Here is a 26,864-nt window from a genome sequence, read left to right on the forward strand (position 1 = left end):
TTCTATTCTACCATCTTACTCCACCTTTTACCTGTTTATTTTTTAAATGTTTCTAGTAAATAATTGTGAAGTGATACGTTTATTTTAATCTTGGGGATCAAAAGCATGTAGCTAAGAACTTTTCCCAAGGAATATTTTAAAATTTTTATATCAATGTTTATGGAATGACATACTTTTTGATTCAAGGTTCTTAAATGTAGTTTTAGTTTTGATTCAATGTTATAGAACACTGTTTTTTTAAACTGTGATCTGCAGCCCACATGTAATGGAATCACCTGGGGTGCTTATATTAAAAAAATGCAGATTCTAGGGCTCACACCAACTAAATCTCCTGGGATTGGAGACCAGGAGGTAGTTCCTATAATCTCCACAGCTGCTTGTAAGGTACACCAAGTTTAAGAACCATTCTTTCATATTTTCAGACTGGGGATTCTTACAAAATGACAAAGAAGGAAAACCTTAATCTTTTAAAGTTAGAGTTCAACCATTAGACTGTGCACTTCTTAAACACAGTTTGTCTTTCCCATTTTCTCTTTCCAGTTCTTTATACTGTCAAGGAATTGGGGCAGAAATGGGAAACAAAGCAGTGAAAGAACAACTATTTATTTCTTTATACACATCTTGCTTTAACAATCACCAAAAAGACTTTCATTTTCTGTCACCCACCCTGTCCACCAGTTATGTTGGCCTTCAATATATGGCGATAGCAACATAAATAAATCTGTATCATACATCTATACACACAAGCACATTCTATCAAAACTGTGAAGACACAGACTAGGCTTTACTATGGCTGGGGGCCTCTCCCATGCCACTTAAAAATGAGCACAGGTTTGCTCTATGCAAGAATTTCAACAGAATTGGTCTGGCCATCAGTCCCCAATTTCCCCGAGGTAAGATAGGACGACAAAATGGGACAAGATATTTGAAGTGAGGTCAGTCCAATTTGGATATCATAGAAGAAAAGAAATAGGATGTGCTAGGTTAAGCCTGAGATGGTATCTGGGAAGTCACATTCATGATGTGAACTGAAAGAACACAGGTGCTACAGTGCAGACCAAAACCCAGCCTGACTCGACCCAACAGGGTCAGGTGTGGATCTGTGAGTAGTGCTCACTGAGCCCCCACGAGCAGTGTCTGGCAGGGCACCGCTGCTCCGTAGTGTGCTTTTAGAACCTGCCAGAGGAGCTCCAGCAATAGGACCACGTGCCCCATTCATCGGAATCAGGGTCCTATATTCACTGAGTTTTCCATCTCAGGACAGCTGATGAGGCAAGAAATGCGCTCTTGCTAGTTCCCAAGCTGCTGGGGCTGTTGAGAGGCAGTATCACAAAACCTTCTGTGCAAACTATGCATCTTCTTCTTAGTGCTGGGCCAAGTGGACCTTGGCTAATCGTATTCCATAGCCGTCAGAAAGGCTTTCTGCCTTTCTGCCAGCTCCACCAGGATACAACTCTGACTCCCTCTTCTGGACCCTCCAGTGGACTTGGAGGAATGAGGCCCAGATGCTCCTCAGCAGATAGGTAGCTGCACAAAAGGGGGACAGGCCAACCTTTCCTGCTGTTTTAAGGACTTCCGGTGGCTGCACTTCTTGCATGGTTCCTGGAAGGCAAGGGTCACAAGGCTGGAGTACATGGCAGAGCCCTTAGGGATTTCACCTGCAGACAAACATAAAACAAACCAAATCAGTGTATATTGCCAGGCCCTACTGATGGCTACCCGAAGCTGGAGTGAGAACTATGGGGTGACCAAAGCCAGGAGCACAGTGAGAGCCAGTTAAGAGGATGAGCTAAGAGCATGCACTGCAGTCTGGAGAAGCAACAGGTGCCCGAGGTTAGGGGGAGCCTCCCCACCTCCCTGTGTCCTGAGATCCCTGCTCCAATTCACTGCACACTGGGTGGCTGGATCCTACCACTCCCTCTTCAGGGGCCAAGTGACTCTCCAAATCACTTTGTCTCAGCAGAAAGGGGCCTTTGTCATCTCCACCCAAGAAAGAAGTGCTTAGCATGAAACATGCACATATAGAAGCAGCCTGTTGTAGGAAGAAGAGGACACTCTGCAGGGAAGTCCTCTGTTAAGTTTATGTCCAGTCGCCATAATGAGGATGTGGAGGGGCAAAGTCCACAGGGACCTCAGAGCTCAACTAAGTCCAGTTCCATCTTTGACAGGTGAGGGTGCAGCAGTCTCACAGAGACTAAGGGACAAGCCAAAGCCACACACCAGTTAGTGATAAGCCAGGGATTAGGACCGAGGCCTCGGGTCCTTTCCAGTGATCTGTGGGAGGTGGAGGGGAAAGCTTCCACACTGGAGAAAGCCAGTGGATACTAGAAACATTTGGGTTACCTTTCAGTGGATACTAGAGACTTTTTGGGTTACCTTTTCTGGGACAGGAATAAGGCTTTACACAGGCAATCCTGTAAGTGCTGCTCTAAAGAGGCTCAGGAAAGAGAAGAATTATCAGAGAAAAACAAAACGGAATTAGTTTAGAAAAAAAAAAGTACAAGTTAAACTGGCCCAAGTCATTTTCACACTATGGAGATCAACATTCTCTCAGGTTATGGTTTAGAAACATTTCTAGGAATATGCTCAATTGCTTATGGCAAAGCTTTGAAGTCCACGTTAAAAGGTTTAGTTTCTGATTTTTAAACCATTTCATATACCTCAAGTTTTTCTTCAAAGCAATTCCTAGGGAATGATTAAACACTTAGTGTTTTAAGTAAATGTAGATAATGTCTGATATATATATAACATTTTTCCCCTGAAGGTTCAGTTGTTATTTATTAACAAATTCTCTTTTAGACAAATGAGACCCAAAAGATCTCTTTTGTCGTGTTACTTAAAGAAATATCAAAATCAAATTGCTGTTCTTAACCCAGGAGTGTGCAGTGAAATCAGTTTATTAGGTTGCAAATTGCTTTTACTTTTTCATGAAGAGTAGAACACATAACTGGCCTCAAGATCCCTCTACCAAAAGCTCATTCAGAGACAGACTCCCAAATGTCTAATGACTTCAAGAGTGAGCTGAATTGCATTTCTCCAGTCTCCTGACTTGGTATCAAAGAAGAAAAATTGGAGTAAAAAGGAGAGATGCTAACAATGTGAGAGTGAACCAAGATACAGGGGCAGGAGCTGACAGGGTGGGAGGGTGATGGGAACAGAAACTAGCAGGAAGCCCACTGAGGACCTGTGATCTTACAAGTGGACTGGAAATCTTCTCCTGGAAGGCGAAAGCAGGCCAAGCGTCACCTACAAGATCTGCTAACAGATGGTGATGGGTTGGGGACAGGCTTGGTGCCTCTGACTGGTGCAGTAGTTTCCTTAACTCTAGGTTAGTCCTTGCATTCTTTAAAACATCATGTGTTCTGGTTACTGAAACAACAAAAGAGCACCACAGAGTAGAAATCATCAGCAGAAATTAACCCTACTTGCTTAGCATGAGAATCCTAAAGCATTTATTTCTCTCTGGCCATTCAGCTTGGAGTTTCCTGCTATCCACCCCCTATCCTCCCCTCCCTCTGCATCCACAACTGCTCGGGGCACAGGAGGTTTGGGGACATCAAATCAGCCTCCACTCCCAACATCCCCAAGCCCCCCAGTCACTGCTCATCAGCAGCACAAGTGGGGCATCGGGAAGACTGCCCGTTTCTTCCCCCATTCCCTCTCAGGGAACCTACGCTGGCTGATGATGAACTGCTCCATGCTCTCTTTCTGCTGGTTGTCGATCTTCAGATGCTCAGCTGTGCTCTGAAGGAGCCACTCCTGTTTGGATACTTTGGTTCTCAGTTCTAGAAGTTCCCTTTCTGTCGATTCTCTCTGGATAAGAGGAACAGACTCTTACTGAACAGGCAGAAGGCATAAAGCACCCCGTGCTTTGTGGCTCTTTCCAGTTCAAAGAAGGATTCTACAATCTTCTCAACTCCCCTGAACTGGATTTCCTCCTTCACAGCCTCGAATACCTCCAGCTGAGGACAGTTTAGGATGAGGCCATTAGGTAGGAATATTGAGACTCTGGAATTCCCCATGCAGACTAGCACAGGCCTACACACCTGTAGCTTAAGAGAACCTTGCTTCAGGCTGGTATAAAACTCCCAGTTCTGAAGAGGACCTTGCTTTAGTCCTGATATCAGTTCTGTCACTCTCCCTTCACAGGTAAGATTGAGAGTTCAGAAATGTTCTGTTGGGAGAGAGAGATCTGGACTCAGGAAAGTTTGCAAGTTTGTAAATATTTGTGCCAATATGAAGATAGCAAAACACCCTCTCCCTGGAATTAGCATAGTTGGATCCAAAAGGTATTGGTGCCATTGACCTGGAGCTAGAATCCCTGGGGAGGGGATCCTGAAACCTGCCTACACAAGGGTCTGCCAATCAGAGTTAGCCTGAGCTCTGAGCAGATCCTGAGGGGAGGCTGACTTTCCCCAGGCCTGGTCCAGCAATGCCAGCTTAAGTGATATGCTGGGATTCCAGGCAGTGGCTAAAAAGGCTGTTTCATGGGGGCATTCTGTGATAATTTGACCACGGGACCTGAGGGTTAGGAGATGGATGCTAAAGCTTTAACTGAATTTCAGCTCATCCAAACTTCAGAGAGGTAAAGAAACTGAACATTTGTGGATTGCCAGGGTTATGATGTCTCTGCCTTCTCCACACTCCTTCCTCTTCTTCTTTGGTTTCTTATCCAGGGGCCAGGGGGCTGGTGGGGAATGGGATGTATTTAGAGCTGCAATGAAAACAGCGACTGTGGGTCAGAGATGTCCCTCCAGGGACACTCCTCTAAGTTCGTGTCTATCCCAATTCACTATGTGGCTCCTGATTTTCTGGAAAAGCTGTGACATTGAGGAGACAGAACAGTATTGGAGGGCAGGAGAACTGGGTTTGAACCAAGAAAGGACACTGGTATCTTACCACTTTGCCAGGCAGCACAGGGATGTGGGTGCTTGGCAGGGCCGCTCTCCAGAACATGGTGAGGAGGGAAGCCGACTCCTCTAGGGCATGGTGCAGGGCACTGGTGCTGCTCCGAAGCTCATGAATGCCTTTGCTGCCTAGCACCTGGGGAAAGGTAACACCACAGGAGCGGAGAGATTACTTTCTTCCCCTTGCATGGGCTCAAGTTCCTTTGTGAGTGAGGCACAGAACATGGGCCTGCTTGAACCTGTGAAGCCGTCGCACAACCATTTGCAGCTCTCAGAACTAAGGTGTTGCTCCCTTTACCAGGAATGCCTTCCTCCACCTGCAGAACCCACAAGGCTTTCAAAACTCACCCCCCTTGCTATGTCCTCTATGAACCTGTTACCTTCCTTGCCTGAGATAAATGACCACATTTGCATTGGCGCTCTCACGGCACAGAGGATGACTTCTCATACTGTGCCTGTAGTCCCTTACTGTGCTTATCTACTTGAGTGTGTGTCTTGCCCTCTAGTGTGGGGGCTCCGTGGAGGCAGGGCTGTCCCTACGCACCTATGGGTCTCCAGCAGCTCAGACAGCACAGCCACAGGTTCCTGGTTTCTCTCACTGGCAAGGTGCTCTCAGAAGCTTTGCTGACTGCCTTCCCTCCCTCTATGCAGTCTGCACAAGGAAATGCCTTGGCTGCCAGGCTTCTCACCCCTTCCACACGTGGGGGCCATACACCTGCAAATCCTTCAGTTTCTGTCCATCCCATTGAGTCTACTCTGCCCACAGATGGTTCATGTGCCTGCATGACTGTGGTAGATAATAAGCTACCAAAGGCTGCTAGGCAATGCCACATGTTTCTGTGGGTTTGAGGGGAAATATCCAGTCAGCTACATATGGAACAGAGCAGAACTCACAGTGAAAATAGGAGATAGAGAAGAAAGGGCCTGGCTGCTATACATGGAAGAGGAAGCCTCAGCTCTGGAGAGATGCAAAGCATGAAAAAAAACAAAAATGGTGGGAGAAGGAGATAACATCAAAGGAAGAAAGGGCACAAGGAAAGAGTGCACCTAAAGCTACAGATGTGATTACCTCTGTGCCTTGGGCTTCAAGGCCAGGGAAGCTGCACGCTGATCTCACAAGAGACACTATCTTTTTGACCAGCAGCTTGCCCTCCGCAATCTGCTGTCTTAGGGCACTGTAGTCATCAATGTGGCCAATGACATGGCGGCCATGCTTACTGGCAAAGGAGCCATCAGTAGCATCACCCTCTAGCTTGGGAGGGGTCTTCATTACTGGAGAAGTATCCAAACCCAAGCCTGAAAAAGAAAATGACAACACAACAGAATCTTCTGTTATTCATAGTGATATCATCAGTTTACTCCAACTCAAAAGAGGTAGGAAACAAGAAAAGGACGAGGCCGGGAACAAGAAAGGAAGCCTTGGAATGTACAAGGGTGGGGCAAAGTCCATAGAGATCTTCTGGCTTCTATATTTTTATAATCTTTCTTACATTATCTCTTAATGATAAATTTGCCAGGAGACAACTTTTTCATTATTGGATAATGAAATAGGACAAATCACAATAAATAATAAGTTTCTGAGTAGAGAAGACACAGACAATTAAATCAAGCTGGATACAGAGAGCATTTTCAAGAATGGAGAGATTACGGTGCAATGAAGCAAAAACAGCAGTAGGAAAACTACAGGAGGATGAACAATGGCAAGAAAGGCAGCCACAGAAGGTGCAGGGAGTAGGGCTAAAGGACTTGGGGCATGCAGAGAAAACTCTCTAAATACAGATAATATGTTTAGAGACAACCAAAGGTTGTTTGCATTAATCTCTTTCCATCATCAGTCCCTGGGCCCTGTAGTTGCCATATTTACCATTTGTTCTGTTGATTATGGCCGTTTCTGAGCCAGAAGTAGAGGAAGCAGAGCTGGGGAGGACCAGAGCTTGGGAATTCATACCAACATCCCGGACTGGAGGGGACACAGCAGAATCTAGGGAGTAAAGGCAACCACAGTTTTCAGGAGCCCTGGAACACCCTGCATGTGAAGCACATGCACACCTAGCCGTCACCACTGAGGACTAATTTTCACCAAGACATTCCAGATAAATTCTTTCCACAACAACAAACTCATACTGGGGTTGAGTGGAAGCAAACATGGCTGTAACAAGTCTATTCACTTAACTTCTTTGAGCCTCAGTTTCCTTTTATATAAAATAAGGATGATAACACTTACCTAGTGGAGTTAGCAGATGCTTAAATGAAATTGCATATATGGTATGGCTAGCTCAGGGTCTAACAGGGAAGTCATTCAATGCCTGCTGTACTAGCTGCAGACCTGAGAAATACCAACAGCAGAATCCCATGTGGTGCTGCCAGGCACGGTGGCTCACGCCTGTAATCCCAGCACTTTGGGAGGCTGAGGTGGGCAGATCACGAGGTCAGGAGATCGAGACCATCCTGGCTAACACGGTGAAACCCCGTCTCTACTAAAAATACAAATAAATTAGCCAGGTGTGGTGGCGGGCACCTGTAGTCCCAGCTACTTGGGAGGCTGAGGTAGGAGAATGGCGTGAACCCGGGAGGCAGAGTTGCAGTGAGCGGAGATCACGCCACTGCACTCCAGCCTGGGTGACAGAGCCAGACTCCATCTCAAAAAAAAAAAAAAAAAAAAAAAAAAAAGCTGTAGAGCTAAGGTCTATGAATCCACATTTTACTTAAGTTCCACAGGTGATTCTTTTTTTTTTCTTTTTTGAGACAGAGTCTCACTCTGTTGCCAGGCTCGAGTGCAGTGGCAAGATCTCAGCTCACTGCAACCTCCAGCTCCTGGGTTCAAGCAATTCTGCTGCCTCAGCCTCCCGAGTAGCTGGGACTACAGGCACGCACCACCATGCCCAGCTAATTTTTGTATTTTTAGTAGAGATGGGCTTTCACCATGTTGGCCAGGCTGGTCTCGAACTCCTGACCTCAGGTGATCCGCCCGCCTTGGCGTCCCGAAGCGTTGGGATTACAGGCATGAGCCACCACGCCCGGCCCACGGGTGATTCTTAAGCATGCTAAACTGAGAACCCCTGAGCTAGAGGATGTACAGGAAATGGGTAATTCACAACTTGAAGGATCAGTAGTGGCCTATGCACATAGATCGGATTTCTCAGAATCCAGGAGTCTTGGAACCTAGAGCAGAGCTTGTCTGGTGTGTTTCTGGGAGGAAAATAGGACATAGCATACAGACAGACAATCTATGAGATAGTTTCTCAATAAAGAAAAAGGGGATAGGCATTTTACCGAAACTGGGATGTGAATGGGGGATAAAGAGGGCACATGTGTATATGGAAAAGGATATTTAATATTATGTTCTAACTTTATGTTTTAAAAAAACTGATGTTTCTAAATACAAACAAATAAAAGAAAAATTCAACAAAACTTTCTTGAAAGGAAGAACAATGCATTAGATTCTACCTTCTACAGTATCAGTGATTCTGTAGGTTGGGTGGAGGGTTGAACAAATCAGAGTTTCAGGTTAGTAACTCTGAGGACAAAGGAAAATAATCCACAGGGATATCTACAGAGGGTTTGATTGTAGGTTCAACAATAGAATCAAAAGAGATGTACTGTTCTTACCCATGACAACTCAATTACATTTACATATGCAAAAATTTAAGTAAAATAATATGCTTTAAGTAGAACTTAAGGAAAAAGTTATTATGATAATTCAGGGCAAAAGAATCAGCACTTAGAACAATCACAAGAATTTTTTAAAAATTGTTTGACAAAGTATGTAGTATAGAAGCAAGGTTTAGATGTTAGAAATTGGGAGCCACAGATATTATGCAACCTTGAGCAAGTCACTTGAAACTTTCTAGGCCTGAGTTTCCTCAGCTATGAAACAAGGACATGAGGCTAGATGCCTGGGCCCTTTTCAAAGTGCTAACATTATTCAGGGAAGTTTAAGTGGCATGTAACATGCAGGGAAACAACAGGGCATGATTTAGAAGTCGTACAGCTGTACTTTAAACAGGCAGTGATGATGATAGTCCTGGGAGCGAATGAATAAATGGATCAGCCCTACAGTATCAGCATGTTCTCCAAGGAGCTTTTGACAAAAAGCCATCAAAGACAGAGTGGCCAATCTAACCAATGAATGAGCTATCTGTGATTTCTGTAAAATTACTAAAGCAGCAGAGATGATTAAAATTGATACTCTATGATTGAAGGACTTATGAGCAGGAGCTGAGAGGAGGGGGAGGGGCCTCTACACAAACCCTGCCAAGCAGCCAACGCCGCAGCTACTGGAAGGTGGAGGTGAAGCCACCCTGCCAAGCAGCCAACCTCACTTTTTGGTAATTATCCTTGTGCTGATGCTGCCAGACAAACTCTCTCTACAAATCTCAGCATGTGGAAAAAACAGAGGCAGGAACAATTGCCCAGCACCTATTTCTCGAAGACACCCTTGAAGTTACTCATCAAAGTTTTAATTAAAGCAGAACTTATGGCTTTTCCTCAAATGGGAATTTGTTAACTTTTAGACTTTGTTATTGTTCATTTTGGGCCTCTGTGCAAATCTGATATCCTGTTTGAATGACATTGTTTTGTTTTTACCCTATTGCTTCATATCTGTCACAATGTTAAGTCAGTTCTCAACATTAAGGCATTAAAAATTAGCTTTTCTCAAATGCTCAGCATCACTAATCATTAGGGAAATGCAAATTAAGACCATAATGAATATCATCTCACACCTGTTAGAGTGGCATTTATCAAAAAGGTGAATGATGTGTTAGAGATAATGCAGAGAAAACGGAAAACACATTGTGAATAGGTATGTAAATTAGTACAGCTGGTGTGGAAAACAGTATGGAGTTTCCTCAAAAAACTGAAAATAGAATCTACCCTATGATCCAGTAATCCCATTTCTGGGTATATATCCAAGGGAACTGAAATGAATATGTTAAACGTATATCTGCACTCTCATGTTCATTACAGCATTATTCATAATAGTCAAGATGTAGGACAAACCTAGGTCCATCAGTAGATGAATGGGCAAATAAAATGTTGCAGATAATACACAATGGAATACTATTTAACCTTAAAATGTTGGGGGATAGGTCCTGTCATTTGTGACAACATGAATGAATCTGAAGGTCATTATGCTTAGTGAAAAAAGCCAGGCACAGAGAGACACCTACCACATAATCTCACCTATATGTGGAATCTAATAAAGTTGAACTCATAGAAGCAGAGAGTAGAATGGTGGTTACTAGAGGCTGGTGGAGTGGGGAGGGAGAGTAGGGGGAATTGTTGATCGAAGGTATCGACAAAAAGAATAGGTCTTAAGGTATATTGCATAGCAGGGTGACTATAGCCAATAATAATGTATATTTCAAAATAAGAGTAAATTTCCAGTGTCTCACCACCAAAAATGATAGGTAGGCAAGTTGATGAATATGTAATTGGCTTGGTTTAATCATTCCATATTGTTTGTTTGTATATATATGTGTGTGTGTATACATATAATCATATCATACCCCATAAATGTATATAATTATGATTTGTCAATCAAAAGTAACTAATTTTTTAAATAGCCTTTTTGAAGTTTATCACACTTTGACTACTAATGTCTGTTCTTTGTATTTGAATCTTGATTTTTTTTCTTCAAGAGGTGGGGGTCTCATTATGTTGCCCAGGCTGGCCCTGAACTCGTGGGCTCAAGAGATTCTCTTGCCTCAGCCTCCTGAGTAGCTGCAACTATAGATGCACACTACCTGGGCTTGAATCTTTATTCTTGATTAACTTTTTCTCCATTACAAAAGTTCACATAAAAAAATGCAATGGTTGATTAGTTTCTTTCACAGCAATTTTATAGGTATTTATTATAGATCTTACATCTGCTTGAGAATAGAATTTTGTGGGAGAAAATCTAGGGAAAATTACTATCATGCCAGACTTGAGGCTTCCTGAGGTGGCTGAGTCCAAAAAATAAGGAGGAAGCAAGTTGCATTGGCCAAAAGGTGATTCTCACCTTGGAAGAAAGACAAGGTTGGATGTGTCTGTTAGTGAAAGTGTATGAATGCTTGGAGTAGGAAGGGAGCTTTGTGTCAAGCAAAAGTTTACCTTCCAAGGAAGGACATAACAAGGAGAAGCTCAAAATCTATCTTAAGGGACCACTTCCCTGGAAACAAGCAAACAAATTTTGAGAATCTGGACACAAAACAGTTATGGTAAAGTAAGCTTTATTTAGTTGGTAGCAGGAGAGTCACAACCTCAAACTCCAGAAAAGATGAAGTAAATTTGCAATGATTTCATACACCAAGATTCCTCCTACCCAGAGCTGAAGATGTATTTTCAAGGAAAGGTGATAGAAAGAAAAATGATGCTTACCCAAGAGATTCTTCCATCCAGCAGGCATATACTTTGTCTATCATGAGTCAAGCCCTGATCCAAAGGCTTGTTAACTCATAATTACACTAAGCATCTCTCCTATGCCAAGTAATATGGCAAGTATTGTGATGGAAATACTAACGCCCTAATGTAAAAAATACATTCCAGGGTGGGCTGACCTCCTCAAAATGGGGTCTGGTCAGATTCTCCATGCTAGGCTACAGGAAAGAAGGCTGAAGAAGAAGCAACTTTACAAAGCAGTTTGCCTACAGTTGAGAATTAGAGCAAATGACTTGCAGTACCTGGAGTACTTCAGACCATATCAATCAGAATCTGACTGTCTTCATATCTGTGTCTCCTGTTCATTTATTCTGAAGTTAATCCTGTCCCACAGTCATTATAACCATCAGTGACCAGCCAACCTCCCAATCTAGCTGTCTTAGAGTAGACATTTGTTCATCCTGCAGGTCCCTCTCTCTCACCCAAGATCCTTAATGACATCAGAGAGTGAGGACAGAGGGATCTCTCTGGAGGGAGAGAGATGTATATAAAGTCACAACCATCAGTAAGGAGGACTCAGGAGAAGCTGTTCAAGCGAAAAGAAAAATGGAGTTCATGCAAGCACTCAAGGGAGAAGGGAAGGTTGGGTACAGCTAAAGCAACAAGAAGGTGATCCTATTATAAGAAGGTGATCCTACTACTATAAAGAAACTGTTGAGAACATGACATATCCCAGACAGCTACTCATGTCCCCAAGTGCCAAATCCCAAAAGATTTGAGGATGCTTGCTTGGGCTCTTCTTATTGGTTGATTCGATGTCTCTTCTTTTTCTTATGCAGAAGACATACAGGCAGACCCAGAAAGCCTCATTTCTTGTTTAATTTTCCTAATAGCCCCAAGAAAGCTATCACTGGAAAGTCCAGCTGCTTGTGCGGGTTATCTACCAATGATTCACTTTCTCCTTAAGAATCATAGGCACAGTCCATCTAGGAGATGAGATTGCTAAATGGCATGGACAAAGTGGAGACATTATAGGAGTTCCGGTGAGTGCTTGTGAGATCACTATTGGTGACTTAATCTCTGAAGTCCAGATTATTCACTCTTGTAACATGCTAGTTACATCTTCACTGATGGTGGGTGGAAGCAATGTTTCAGCTCAAGTTCTGAGGTTTAACAGGGGATTGTTGTTGAAGTACCATCTGCTGATCACTGAGTCACCATGACCTCAATGGTTTGTCAGGTTGCATAAGGTTCTCTTTGCATAATGAGATTTCACTGAGAAAGATCCTTGCTTTGGAAGCATTCCAATCTTCTTGGAGTTTCTTCCCAAGCAGGTCCTCCGCCCTGCCACCTCCCCGAGCAGCCCTTCGATGACTCCCTGTCTTCTGTGGTGCATTTCAGTTACAAAAAGCCCAAGAGGAATGTCTCGATTGTCTTGCAAGTAAAAATTCTTCTGAAGCTATAGCTACAGAGAATAAATAGGGGCAAAGCTGGGTAGGAGGGGGCAGGAGGCAGAAGAAAGAGGTACAACACAAACCAAAGGGTGGATTGGAGAGAAAAATGGAGTGAAGATATGGGTTGGAAAGGCAGCTGGTTTGCTCAAGGAGAACAGGAAGATGACTGAGAAGTGGTTTATATAAAAAGATATCTTCTCACTCTAAGTCTGTAAGGGCTGCAGGAGACCATCAGACCTCAGAAGGGCTGTGTGTAGTCCACCCTGGAAGCCCCAGACCCTGAAACTGACTTACTTGCTGGGGACTATGGTGTGCGGCCTCCTCAATAATGTCAGTGAACTCAGTGCTTGCATCTTTGGTGTCATCCCCTGCAGGTGCACCTGGAAACAAGTCCAGTAAAGAAAAGTGATTCCCTTCACAGATGGCTTCCAGAGAGCAGGTTAAATTATACTCTTTTTGCCAGCTGCCTCTCATTTCTTCCTTTCTCCATATACATGGGGAAGAAATTCTCCCTAGCCAGCAGGGCTGGCAAGAAAAATAGAACTTTTTGTATCACAGACACTTTCTTATTCATACTCAAGCCTGAGCCTCACAACATAAGCTGACTTTGCCTGCACAGACCCATTTCTAAGGAGCCGACTGTCGGATGCACTGGTTACCCCACTCGAATGTCAAGAAAGCCTGAATTGTTCCCCACTGCCTGGCTACATAAAAACTTTCTCTTCCATAACATGAGTCTAACATGCCTAACCCTTTCCCCACCACTGAGTGTCTAGAAATTAGAGCTGCCCTGAATCTCTCAGAGGTATCTATTGTTGGGATCAGTTGTGCATAGGGTGACAATCTCTCTGAGGAACTTCCCTCTGGGGGTCCTGTGTCCTAGTAAGGTTCAGGTCTAGTCAAGATTCAAGACACCCAATGATTCAGTTGTTCCCTAATTTCTTCCTCTAACCTCCCTTCCTCCTCACCTCTCTCAAACTCTTATTCTACGCAGGCACCCTTTGCCTGAAGGGTTCCTTGCACTGCTTTCTCCACATGAGATTTAACCCATCCTTTCATTCTCCAGAGATCAACACAGCCACTCTAGGGCCCAAACATCTACACCTTGCTCTAAGGTACAAGTAGCTGCAGTTTGTGGTATGGGCAAAGGTCTAAGGCAGCACTGACCAAGAGGACTTTCTGCAATGACAGCAATGTTCTGTGCCAGTGTTGCCCAGTACGGTGGACACAGTCATATATGGCTATTGAGCTTTGAAATGTGGGTAGTATGGCCCACATTTCAAAGCATTCAATTTTAAATTTTATTTTAGTTAAATTAACTTATATTTAAACGACTACATGTGGCTAGTGGCTACCCTATTGGACAGCACAAATCTAGGGTGTTTCTTCCTCCTTATATTGATTAAAATTAAGACTGTTCATACATTTTAAGACCAAGAGCTATGTTTTTACATTACTGTATTTTTCGGGAAGTGTAGAAATTTATTATGGTTAATTTATCAAAGAAAATCTACTGTGACACTCACCGTGTCTTATAGAACCTCCCCAACTTAAAGAATCTTGAAATCTTGTTCTGATCCTAGCCTCGGCAACCAACCAGTTACAACTCCACTTCTGACCACTGATTAACCTGGACCTCTAAGAGATGAGGTGGTGTGTCCAAGGTTACACAACTAGCCCTCACAAGAGCTGCACCAATAAGTCAAGACTGTGGACTCTTAGACAGAAGCCACTCACTTTTTCTTCTGGTGACAAATCAGATCTTTATCTTTGCTTCTTCCTCCAAGACCAAAGAACCTTGATGTTGAGTTCAGACATCCAGGCATGAAAGGCTTTGCTTGAATCATGAGCATTCACTACCCAATGCAGATAAGGTAAGCAGGGGCAGTTCACATCTACATATTTGCAATGGCCCAGGCTGATCTCATAGAGTGCTAAGAGGTAGTAAGTATGCTGTGATAACAGCTTAGGTTTCCTCATCTACACCATGAACTTTGTGTTAACTTTGGATCAAGGAAGGGTCCTGTTCAGTGTAGCCTCTACCACCTCTACCACTCAGCATCTTTAGAGTTCTGTGGCAGACAGTGTACAAGAGGAATTTCCAATACTTCCTCATTCAAACCAACCCCAGAAACCATCTCATTCAGGATGCTAGCTGAGTAGAGGTGTATGGACACATTGCCTAATCTTTGGCTGCTTTAAAACTTACTGAACCCAGGATACTAATTTACCTAGGACACTCATATCATGTTATGCTTACTTTGGAAAATTTTTCCCTGTAAAACAGTAGGGATCACAATCTTTTACGTTTTTCCAGCAAAGGAAATGAATTGTCTCACTCAGTGACAGAAAACAGACTGTTCACATTGTTTCTCATTTGAACATGGGGCTAGAGAAGGATCCTGTAATTGAAGAAAGTTCAGCTCTATGAGGTCAGGATCCTCATCCCCTACCATTGTTGCTGGGTTGTGGAGTCAGGCTGGGCCCACATCCCAGGACCATTCCTGCCAGGTTCCAGAAGCGAGAATTGGAAAGGGTGACTATCACTGGTCTTGAAGGTTTTCATCTGACACTTTCTGCCCTCCACTTATCTTTGGCAGCCTTTCTGGTGCCATGTCTGCATTCTTGGATAATGCTCCATCTTATTTCACTTAAGAGCAGGATGCTATGGTTCTGGCTTCATAAGGAATTAGATGGAGACAAATAAATGCTCATCTCATCTCGACACTCTGCCACACAGGGGTTTTGTTTCTTCCCCTTCATTCTCTCTTTTTTAAGCTAGCTCACAGTCTTCTTCCATTACGGCAGCTTTAAGGGTTGCTCAGCCTTTTACCAATTTGAATTAAAATGCTGAAACTTTTTCTCCCATGTTTGAGGGGTAAAGCTAAAAATTTATAGAAAATATGGAAATAAAAGGGTAAGTTATCTCATACAAGGTCCTGTATATAAGTTAACATTAGACATCTTTTACTATTTTTCATTTTTTAAATAAATGAGAGAACTTCTCTTTTGTGAGTGGTACCTTTTTCTAAACTTTTACAGCACAATGAAACACTGTCTTCAGAACTAACTTGGAATACTTTGAATTTCTAATTTAAAGGTAACTATGCTTTCATATTGATGACTCTTCTGCTTATTTTTTGATAAAATATAAAATAGTCTGCCACCTTTAGATTCTCTGAAAGCTAAGAATCTGTTCATTTAACTTGCTTCTTCAATATTAAGTTTTACATGTTAGACTGCCAATTTTATCAAAAACTTTTATTTGAGGCTTCAATAAATGTTCTTAACTTGTGGTTCTTGGAAGTTTCTGGGCTCTGAACAATACAAAATGGAGGTGATACCAAGATGTCCGTTATTTAGATTTATAAGATTATTTTCTATCAGCTATCTAATTCTACCAAGTACACAAAAATAAGCCTCTAAAACATAAGACCATAAAATCCTTGGGTGAAAATGTAAGCATTATGCAAATGTAAGGTATTCTTATCACTGAGGCAAAAATTCATACTTTTGTAGAACTTTTTGAGTATGGAATAATAATTAAGAACATGAACTATGGAGATAGACTGTCTAGATTTGAATTGTGCTTTTTTCGTTAGTTATGTCACCTTAGGCAACTCATAACCTTTCCATAACTAAGTTTCTTCATTTAATAACTAGGGTTAAGAGCATTATCCACTCCATACTGTTGTGAAGTTTAAAGGGTTTGCTGATTTTGAAGTGCTTAGTACACAGTGTGTACTCAATAAATACCATCCTTAAACAATATTATTATTATTGTTATTGTAGGTAAACTGAAGTAGTCCATGGGCTTATTAGTTGAAAGCTGAGAAAGTTGAAGGCCATAGAACCTAAATAGCATCAGCAGAAGGAAGTTTTATACTTGATATTATTATCTGAATGATCTTGATTAATTCTACCTGCACTTCTTCATTTCTGAATACTTGTTTCCCCCAGCAGGAGGCTTGAAATGACACTCTTTGCTCTCTGCCTCACAGGACATCGAAAAACTAAGGAGTTGTCAGTAAAGTAGGTTGAACTCTTTGGAATAGGTGCCTTACAAAAAGGATTACTCATCATTAAATGATAACTGTCTTAAAACTCCAAAATGCATAAATAAGCCTTAGGGGAAACTTCATGACCTCTTTTTTTGTTTTGTTTTATTTTGCTTTAGAGATGAGGTCTCATTATGTTGCCCAGGTGGGTCTTGAACAGCTAGGCTCAAGGGATCCTCCCGCCTCAGCCTCCAAGTAACTGTGACCACAGGTGCATGCCGCCACACCTGGCTCATGACATGTTCTTTAGTAATGAGTCCAAACTGGGTGGAGTCAAGACCATTTCCCCCAAATTCTACTCTGCAGTCATTATTATCTCCCTTTAAGCCATTAATATGGGATCAACAGAAAAGGAGTGATGTTTTTCCATATAGTTACTTAGAATATAGCAAGAGATCATATTTTATTCATTTTAAAAGGTGATCTGAAGAACTAAAACTTTAAGCATGAATAAGTTGGCAGTGCCAAGTGTTCTTTCCTTCGGTACTGGGCCCTTGTGTCTAATACTCTCAGCCCAATTTCACTCTGACTCCCAGGTACACCGCCATGCATTCATTACAAGAACGCTCACATTTTCATGTCATGAACCAACTATTGCTGACTTTAATGTTATGGTGCTGTATGAGAGAATCAAGGAAAAGAGGCCTCCTATCAAACTACAATTTCACCTGCACACATTCCCTTCAGGATCATAAGAAAACTATTAAGATTCCATATAGTCCTCCATAGTTTCTGCTAAGAAATAAAATTCTCTATCTAGACAGATTCTGATCGTGGAACAGAAGTGGTAGAAAACTGCTGTCTGCAGTCAAACCCCTTTATGGTGTATCTTTGTCTTTAAATTGCAACATCTCTTAAGTAGCCTTAGGGCTTTCCAGCTCACATGTTTCAGAAAGTAGCTGTTTTAAGTGACTTGAAAAGGCCAAATCATAATCTAAAATACTTTTGGGGGTATGAAATCCCACTAAAATTCTGGAAAGAGTTTCTACTTCTCCAAAAGGGTAATTATTCAATATAACTACAGTCTTCTATCCTTAGGCTAACCAAGGCACATGTAAATTAGGACTCCTGGGCAGACCAGGAGATATGACCACTGCACCTATTTTGTGATGCCATAATTCTGTAATGTCAAGAAATTCTTCCTGCTCATGGTCTCTTTTTTTCTTCAAAGAACACAAGAAACAGGCTTTTCTAGGAATGTTTAGAGACAGCACTACCCACCGCAGTTGGCTCCTCAAACGTCTGTCGTGCTTTCTGCTATTCTCCTACAGCAAAGAAAGCAAGGAAGGGTTTTTAAGGTAAATTAGCCTATGTCGCATTTCTGGGGAAAGTGTAACACTGTTTCTTTAGTGTTACACTTTTCATTTCTTCAAGAGGAGAAAAATTGGGGTTTCTTCTTCCTTCCTTTAGTTAAATAAATACTCATTCTACAAGCCTTGCTTTGACTTGGAATTTAGTAAATAATCAATAAACTGATTCTCCTATAAGGAAAAAAAAGATACAAGCTTTCTCTACTTCTTTTTTTAATAAATATTTTAAGAATAAAACCAAATAGTTTCTATTGGCCTTTGATAAGTTTATTGGATCAGTAACAATTTTTTGTGTCTCAACTAAGATAGCTAAAATTCTAACACTTATATGTAAAAATTACACTCCATTTTAGCACAAATGTTAACACAAATTAACAGCACAGTGCCATGAAGAAATGAAAAATATACAGCTTATTTTGGTGGGGAAATGGTCCTGGAAATAATGTAATGCCAAGTTTCTGATCATTTAATACATCACTCACCTCCTTCTTCATCTGATGTTATGAACCACTTTATTTATTTATTTATTTATTTATTTAAGACGGAGTTTCACTCTTGTTGCCTAGGTTGCAGTGCAATGGCATGATCTCGGCTCACTGCAACCTCCACCTCCCAGGTTCAAGCATGAAGTTATGAATCACTTTAATTCTTCTCAACAACCTACAAAATTTTAAGTGAAAACTAACAAGACTTCATGGACAAAGATAGAAACTCATAATTTATAAAATGTGCTGATATATGCACATGCCTCCAAAGGTTATAGATTGAGAGAGAGGTCACTATCTTGGAGCTATGACTTTGATTATTGTAAAAAGAAACACTACATATTCATGTTATACACTAAAAGTAAACCTGCAAGGAAGCCAATTTGGTTTATGTACTTAAAACCCCTATTCTCCATATTATTTTAAATACAACATTTTCTGATGTTGCTGAACTTTCTATTTTACCCTTCCAGTTTAAGTAAGAGCAAAACAATATGATAAAGATTTTTACTTCTGGAATTTGATTTTAAACAACAAAAAGGGAGAGTAACACAAAAATAATCAGTATGTCACTTTATAAGTTTCATTATTCTTATTTGAAACCTGGTAGAATTAGTATTGTCAGGACCACAGTTTTGTGTTTATTTCCGTTTCCCATTCTTTGTTGGAGGCAAATTACGATGCTATTTTTTATTTAGAAAATTGATCTTGGCCCAGGTGAGAACATGGAGAAGTTGAAGACTTACCTTCTGTTAACACTTAGATTACTTAAAAGCAACAGGCTTGTTATTCGATCATAATAAAATGTTTTAACAAAGCTACTGGTGCAAAGGGTGAGAAGGTGGCTTAAATCCACATTCTAAAACACATTATAACTGAAATAACTGAAATATACACTATATAAAAAACATTATAACTGAAATATACAGAAATCACTCCAATATATTATCCTACTGACTCATTCCTTCTGTTTATTACTGTATTGCCACATTGGAGTTCCATATTTCCAGCTATTCTTTCTACGGTACAAATGGTTCCACACTACCAAAGAGAAAAGAAAAGCTCACTGAGCTTTAACCCTGAGAGAACTGAGAGAAAATACTCTGTGCTGGTATCTCACAGGATATATCTGGAAAAGAAATCTAATTTCATTTGTTCTATCTCTAGTACAATTTCTACAAGGTAAAATGGAAAACGGACTTTAAGTGTGTGTGTTGCTAATATTTCTTCCTAACCTCACAGGAAGTTTGTCACGTTTCCTTGCAGGATACTGACTGTAAACCTGCAGAATACTACATGATACCCTATTTGAAAAGGCCACTTGAGCTTTTCAGGGATGCCAAATGTCAAGATTTTGTGACTGTTTTATATAAAAAGATCATGAAATGAGAAAACAAGTTTATCCTATCAATGGGAACTAGAGTTTTCTAATAGTACCTCAAGAAAAGCAAAGGTATTATTGTTCTCTCTAAGGCTCACAGTCCAAAGGAAAGTGACTTTAGGTAGCTCAGTCAACCTTTATTTCTCAATGAAAAGGACAATTTTCAGTATAATGTGATCTGCTACTCCTTTCCACAATCAGAAGACTCCAGATCCAACTGGAAGATCAACATAGAGAGAACTGAAATCAGTTTTCTTGAACTGTTTTTGAAGCTATGAGCCAAACATCTCATGACCCAGACACTGAATTAGGAGGATGAATGAGCATAAAAGTGATAGGTTTTTTATGTACATCGGCCACAGAGTTTACTTATGCATAAACCGTGTAAAGAGAATATACTAAAGAACCCTCAAGGAAACTAATTCTTATGGTTAGGAACTCATATCCTCTACAGGTTAAGATTTTCTGGATCCTTAATAGATCTCTTGCTATATATAATGTAATAGAAACATCTTTTAAAAATATAAATAAGGAAAAATGTATTTCCTCTAAGAAGCAAAGGTACTGAAAATATTACTGCTGTCCACAGCTGAATGAAGAGAAGAGGGTGTGGAGAAGATTCGGTGGCAGATAAGAGTACACACTACCAAAGAAAAAGGCTGACCTACTAACATAGTCCAATAATGTCTTGTCAAAAAAGTTATAACTTGGTTATCTAAAAAGAGAACATCAGATGAATGTTGATTTATACTAGGTACTAATAGTCATCAAATTTTCCATACTATAAACTTTCAATAGAAAAGAGTTTGGGAAAATATCTATCTAAGGACATTTATTTCACTCATTAAATAAGTCCTCTTGGAGGTTCTTTGCAACTCTATACTTCTAAAACCTACAGATTTCATCTACCCTGAACTCTTACAACCATTACTCTGCATTATTTGCTATTATTCAAAAAGGAAACATGAGAAAAACAAAATTTATCATATGGATTTTTTTCTGAATTTAAGTTCTATGCTTCCAATTAAGCATGGCCTAAGTAAAAATTTACTTCATTATTTTTATTTGAAGATTATTTTTACTCAAGCACAAGGTTCTATAAGCACAGGATGCTTTATCTAAAATTACTGTCATGTTGAAAAATGACTGTCAAAGGAAGAATAATCCAGTATGAGAAAGAGTCTGTGCTCCTGAAGAGAAAATGGAATATTATATCATGCTAAATATTATTAAATGATGTGTCCAACACACAAAGTTGTTAGACCAGCAAGCTCTCTCCAGATAACACTGTTTGCAAGCCTCATTCCAGCTATCTAGACTAGAAAAAGTTAGTACCATATTTTAGTCACATTTATGACATTAAGATCAGACTTTTAATTTATCCTTCTATCAATCTACTCTTGCTGGAGGTTGACAGAAGTAGGAGTGATTATTAACATAAACTGTAATCACTATGAGCCATTAGAAACCAAGAATCACCCGGAGCTGAATCTTAATAGCAGACTCAGAAGGCTTCTCTGGTCTATTAGTAGAATTAAGGAAAGATGTTCCCTAAATGCCTTGTTGTGATGACACAACAAACTAGTCTTTGATGGGTTGACATTTCTATAGCTCCATTACCTTCCTCTTTACTTCTGGAAAGTTACAAAAAATTTTGTGCAAGAAAGGGTCTCTTAAAATTAGAAGACTAAGAAAAGTGGATGGATCGGCCTACACTTCCTATCTCCTTCCTTAAATGACTCCTTTTTCCTCAAAAGCCATTGAAACTGAAATGGCAGATCCATTAAGAGTAAGGCTTATGGCTATCAATCTTTGGCAAATTACTTAATCAGAAGATTCCAGAGTGCTTCCCCAGTAGAACATTTTCTCCCTGTCCACTCTAGTTTGACTGATTCTCTATCTGTTATAGACACAGCTAAAGTTACAGAAACAGATGAAATTTAGAACGTAATACAAGCCATGTCAACATGTGAAAGAAATAAAGTGTCACATAAAAAAAAAAGGAAGGAAAAAAATCACTGTGCCCCACTTAGTTTAGAAAGGGTATTCAGTCACATTTATTGTGCTAGAAAGCCTCAATCCCTGTCCCAAATTCCATGTTTAAAGTAACTGAAACCTCAGCTTCTAACCTAGGAAACTTAAAACCAGAGGAAATAAAAACAAATTCATGATGTTGAACCCACAAAGCTGCAAAGCAATCTTGGTTACTTTTCACACTTCTGACATTCGAGACATCAGAAATACAATCTCTGGTGCCCCTCTCCTTATACCTGTCACGCTGCCACAAGAAAGCATTGAGGCAATGATTAAAACTATAAACATACATCTGTAACATTTCTTTCTAAACTATTCTAGCACTTCAAAGCCTGAAGCCTATTACTTATTTTTATATGGAGAAATGTATGCATACTAAATAGTGAAAAACATAGGATCCTATCTAGTGCCACAAATGGAAGAAGCAATACCCTCTTCTGGCTGTAATGAGTTATTTGGTGAAACACTGAATGTAAAGAGGGATACTACATTTGAAATTATCTTGTAAACAGAGAATTCTGACTCTGGAAGGCCATTCTAGAAGTCATGTTCTGACTAAATAGCATGACCTTGGCTTAAAGAAACGTAAAGGAATCAGTAAAGAACAAATTTTAAGTAGAATTTAACCTGTACCTAATCTAATTTCACTTGTGTACAACAGTCAACTCTGAGACAGTATTGGAAATAAAAGTTGACTATGATCACTTTCATAGTTCTTGCCTCTGTTCTTTAACTTGGCCTTCCCAATACTTGCAGTCTACTATTACAAGACTACTCTCCTGGTTTTGATTACCTTCTGATAAGGATTATATCACTTTTGCGAAGTCATTCTTATAGACTCAATCTCTTTCCCACTCTCTCATCTTAAAACTTGTATTCCTTTGATTTAAAAAATGCTCTCACTCAAAGAGAAGTTGACTGAATGGCAAAAATACTACACACACATGCATTTATGATATGATATGGGACACATGAAATGGATTGTGAAAGTGGGGGAAGAATAAACTTTATTGGCCCACAGAAGGGATGAGGGAATGAGAAGGGGCTAGGGATAAGAATGAACGAAAATGGAAAAACTAAAACAGAATGATTTAAAATGTGCAAATACACTTTGCAACCTCCACCTTTCAATTTAGGAATTGATATATATGTACAATGAGATCCATGTAGGCTAAAGTGAGTTTCACTTTGTAGTTGAAGCTACTTGTACCAGTTCTATCATTAGTAAGTCACCGTTTAATTCTGCCAAAGTCAGACAAGGATCTTTCTGGTTAGTGCAAACAAGGTTTTTCATCTTGGGCTGCAGTCTGACCCGCCAGTGCTCAGTAGGCAAGCTTGTGATGAATTCAAACACTTTCCAGTTCCCCACCTCCAATGGCAGCCAGGGTCTCCAGACTGTTTAAGCACTCCAAGCTTCTTCCAAGAATTTCTTCTAGCCGACTGCATAACACCTGAGCCCCCTCCAGTTCCACCTGCAGAGTTTGGTCTCTCTCAGAGCTTATTAAACATGCCTCACAGAAGGAAAATGGATTAGCTATCAACTGTAGTGAGTCCGTATTTGCTTCCAAAGAACCATCAATGCCATTTTGAGCCACACGATTTTGTAAAGTAATTATTCTCCAGGACACAATAAATGAATGTAGTCTTTGTGTGGCTTTCGTGTTCACTGCTGATAGATTAGTAAGGACCATTGCTTTTTTTAAAAGCTTACCCCTTATGCTAGATTCTGGGCCAATTTCACATAAAATTATAGCTCCTAAGACTTATTTCACACCCCTATAGCCCAAACGAGAAATTTCGTTATTTGGCTAAAAGCTTTTGTTTCTGAAAAACTAAAACCCAGGACAAACTAAATATAAACTGGAGCAAGACTGAGCCAAGTAGAACCACTACTGAAGATATTTGTTTTCTCATTTGTTATCAAACTTGACGGTGGGATGGTGTGCTGAAAAGGAATCTGGTTCATAAAAACTAAAGCTCCAGAGGTTCTTTAAAAGGTAATACAATCAACTGGTCCTATCATACCTTTCCTCTGCCTTCATTTTCCTGGTAGAAAGAAAACATTTTTAAAGCCCAACAATAAATTACAAGAAACTGAATAGCAAATAATAATAATAATAATAATTGAAAAAGAGGAAAAAGAGCTAGTAGGGGAGGCAAAATGAGAAAAAAAAATGAAGAGAATAGAAAATGATCCAGAGAGGTATCATATATGTGACCAAAAATCAAGAGGTAGAAGAAAATGTATTCATCATGATAGTTATCGGCGGTCCCAGGATGATATTAGCCATCCCAATTATTATATTTTCTTTGATGATATTAAATGAATATCAGAGCCCATTATAGCCTTACTTTTTTTTTTTTTTTTTTTTTTGAGATGGAGTCTTTCTCTGTCACCCAGAATGGAGTGCAGTGGTGCGATCTCGGCTCACTGCAACCTCTGCCTCCCAGGTTCAAGTGATTCTCCTGCCTCAGCCTCCCGAGTAGCTGGGACTACAGGCGTGCACTAACTCACCCAGCTAATTTTTATATTTTTAGTAGAGACAGGGTATAGCCTTATGTTTGTAATAGAACAGCCTTTAACAGGACATGGATCACAGAAAAGAAATGAACATACATTGAGTGCTTAGTATATACAAGGCATTGTTTTAGACACCAAAGCTGTCTTCTTATTTAATCTCTGCAATAGCTGTATGAAACAGGCACTATTCCCGACTTAAGATTTTGACACTGAGGCTCAGAGCAATTCATAAAACAAATGACAAAGTGGGTGGCCCTGGTAATTGTCCCTGTTTTTTCTCCCCTCTTCAGTATCATAAGCATCTGCACTTAATGAAGAATAAAAGGCATAAAAAGAATACAATAGTAAAAGAAATAAAAATTTCAATAAAGAATAAAAGAAAAAACAGCCACTCTCTTACCTCTCTGGATGGGCATGGAACTTCACCAGACTGCTATAGAGCTGTCTCTCTGCTTGTAAGGCCTCACTGAGCCGACTCCGTTCATCTACTAGTCCTTCTAGCATCAGCAGCAACTGAGAAAAGAAGAGAGAAGAAGCAATACGCAAATGGCACAGTGAGACATGAAACCACAGTTAATCCTGAGAAACAAGAAAATGCATTAGCATGTACTATGACTTAAAAAGCCCACTATCTTAGTACTTAAGCTTTTGATACTATTTTATGGTTTTTGAATCAGTGTCATATTATCTTTTTTTTAATCTTTAAAACCTGTAAGGTAGAATTCAAACATGGGAGCAAAAAGAAGAAAAAGGAGAGAAGCTAGAAGCACAGGAAAGCAGCTAAGAGAAAAGAGTAAGAGGGAAACAGGACAAGCAAGAGGGAAATGTATGTAATAGGACTTACTAGTATTCTTCATTCATTCAATTAATATTTACTGAGCACCTTCTATGGGACAGACTCTGTTCTAGGTTCTAGGGGGAAGCTTACTATCTAGGGGAGGAAAAAGACATTCATTAATCATAGATGTGTGTCATTGTGAGTGTAATAAGTGCTATAAAGGTAATGAGCTATGATAATGTATAACCAGAGTTGTTTAAGGTAGAGTTAAAAGCCAGAATGGAGTGGGGTGAGTAGTTAGTGAGAGAGATGAGTCTTTTGGAAAAGTCTGGCATTGAAGAAAAGTTAAATGGGGCTGTAGCTACAAAGAAATTTGGGGCAAATGTAGGGGTTTCTTTCTCTTTCTTTTTTTTTTTTTGACTGGGAGAGATTTGAACATGGTTAAATGCAGATAAAAGAGAAAGATTCAGTTGAGAGGGAGGTGACTTAGGTATGAGTGTGAGGATAACTATTGGTATGTGTCCAAAAGAACTGCTGCTCTTTTCAGAACTACAAATGTCAGAAAGGGGCATCTATAGCTGCTACCGACCAAAGTAAGAAACTTCAGAGCACAGTTTCTCTCTGAAATACCATCAACTAACCCTCCACAAATAGCTGAGATTGACAGCTTTACCATGGTTTATTTCACAGTAGAAAAATTAAGTTTGAGCCAGGCATGGTGGTGTGCACCTGCAGCTCCAGCTACTCAGGAGGCTGAGGCAGGAAGATTCCTTGAGCCCCAGAGTTTGAGGCTGCAGTAAGCTATGATCGTACCACTGCACTCCAGCCTGGGTGACACAGTGAGACCCTGTCTCAATGTGGTGACTCATGCCTGTATGTAATTCCAGCACTTTGAGGGGCTGAGGAGGACAGCTCACTTGCAGTCAAGAGTTCAAGACTAGCCTGATCAACATGGTGAAACTCCATCTCTACTAAAAAAAAAAAAATACAAAAAAAGTAAATAAATAAATAAGGTTTATATTCCAATAACTTACCTGTTGTCTTTGGTTTCCTGAAATTTCTTGACCCTGGGATTCTACTGAAGCAACTTTTTCCCAAAGAAGTAAGACTTCCTGGGTCAGGCGTTTCATAGCTCTTATGTCTTCAGGATCAACCAGTTGCATTTGCAGGTCCTAGAAGTCAAAAAATAAGTGTGGATGTGAAAATAGTAATAAAAGGATTATTCAGCAGAGGGGAGCATGGGAACAAATGTTCTTGAAATATTCTGCCTATACTTTCAAGTGGGATATGGATAATCACTGGCCAAGGGAGTCAATGTGTGCAAATATTGTCTGAAGAGGCCCTACAAGTATTCTGAGCTGTGAACATTTCCAGTGGTCTTTAAAAAGTTTTGAAAGACCTTTATGAGATCTTCTTTCCATATCAGCAGCCTGCACCTGCAGCTCTTCTTCCTGCACAGCCATCATGGACTGTAGAGCAGAAAGTTCCATCTGTGAAAAGAGGAAACAATGTCTGCCATGTTTACATTTTAACACTGAGGCAAATGCTTTTGCATATCATATCACTATCAGCC

General features: G+C 40.4%; 1 pseudogene across 1 annotated transcript, besides 1 other annotated feature; it reads right to left on the bottom strand.

Annotated features, from left to right (window-relative positions):
- Window positions 1–1,299: 1,299 nt before the first annotated feature.
- Window positions 1,300–25,003, bottom strand: LOC728989 (phosphodiesterase 4D interacting protein pseudogene; annotated as a pseudogene). The gene is made up of 6 exons (NR_024442.2): window positions 24,914–25,003; window positions 6,772–6,888; window positions 5,977–6,203; window positions 4,900–5,043; window positions 3,675–3,813; window positions 1,300–1,658 (listed from the first exon to the last, which is right to left on the bottom strand). The product of NR_024442.2 is annotated as a phosphodiesterase 4D interacting protein pseudogene (transcript).
- Window positions 11,905–13,104: an enhancer, noted in NCBI's record as "CDK7 strongly-dependent group 2 enhancer chr1:146501494-146502693 (GRCh37/hg19 assembly coordinates)". NCBI's record gives its function as "activates an origin of replication core promoter dependent on BRD2, BRD4, P300/CBP, MED14 and CDK7 cofactors, with strong dependence on CDK7, by STARR-seq in HCT116 cells {active_cell/tissue: HCT116}" and the evidence as "EXISTENCE:reporter gene assay evidence [ECO:0000049][PMID:35650434]".
- Window positions 25,004–26,864: the final 1,861 nt, after the last annotated feature.

This window comes from Homo sapiens, chromosome 1 (assembly GCF_000001405.40).
Source record: "Homo sapiens chromosome 1, GRCh38.p14 Primary Assembly".
NCBI lineage: Eukaryota > Metazoa > Chordata > Mammalia > Primates > Hominidae > Homo > Homo sapiens.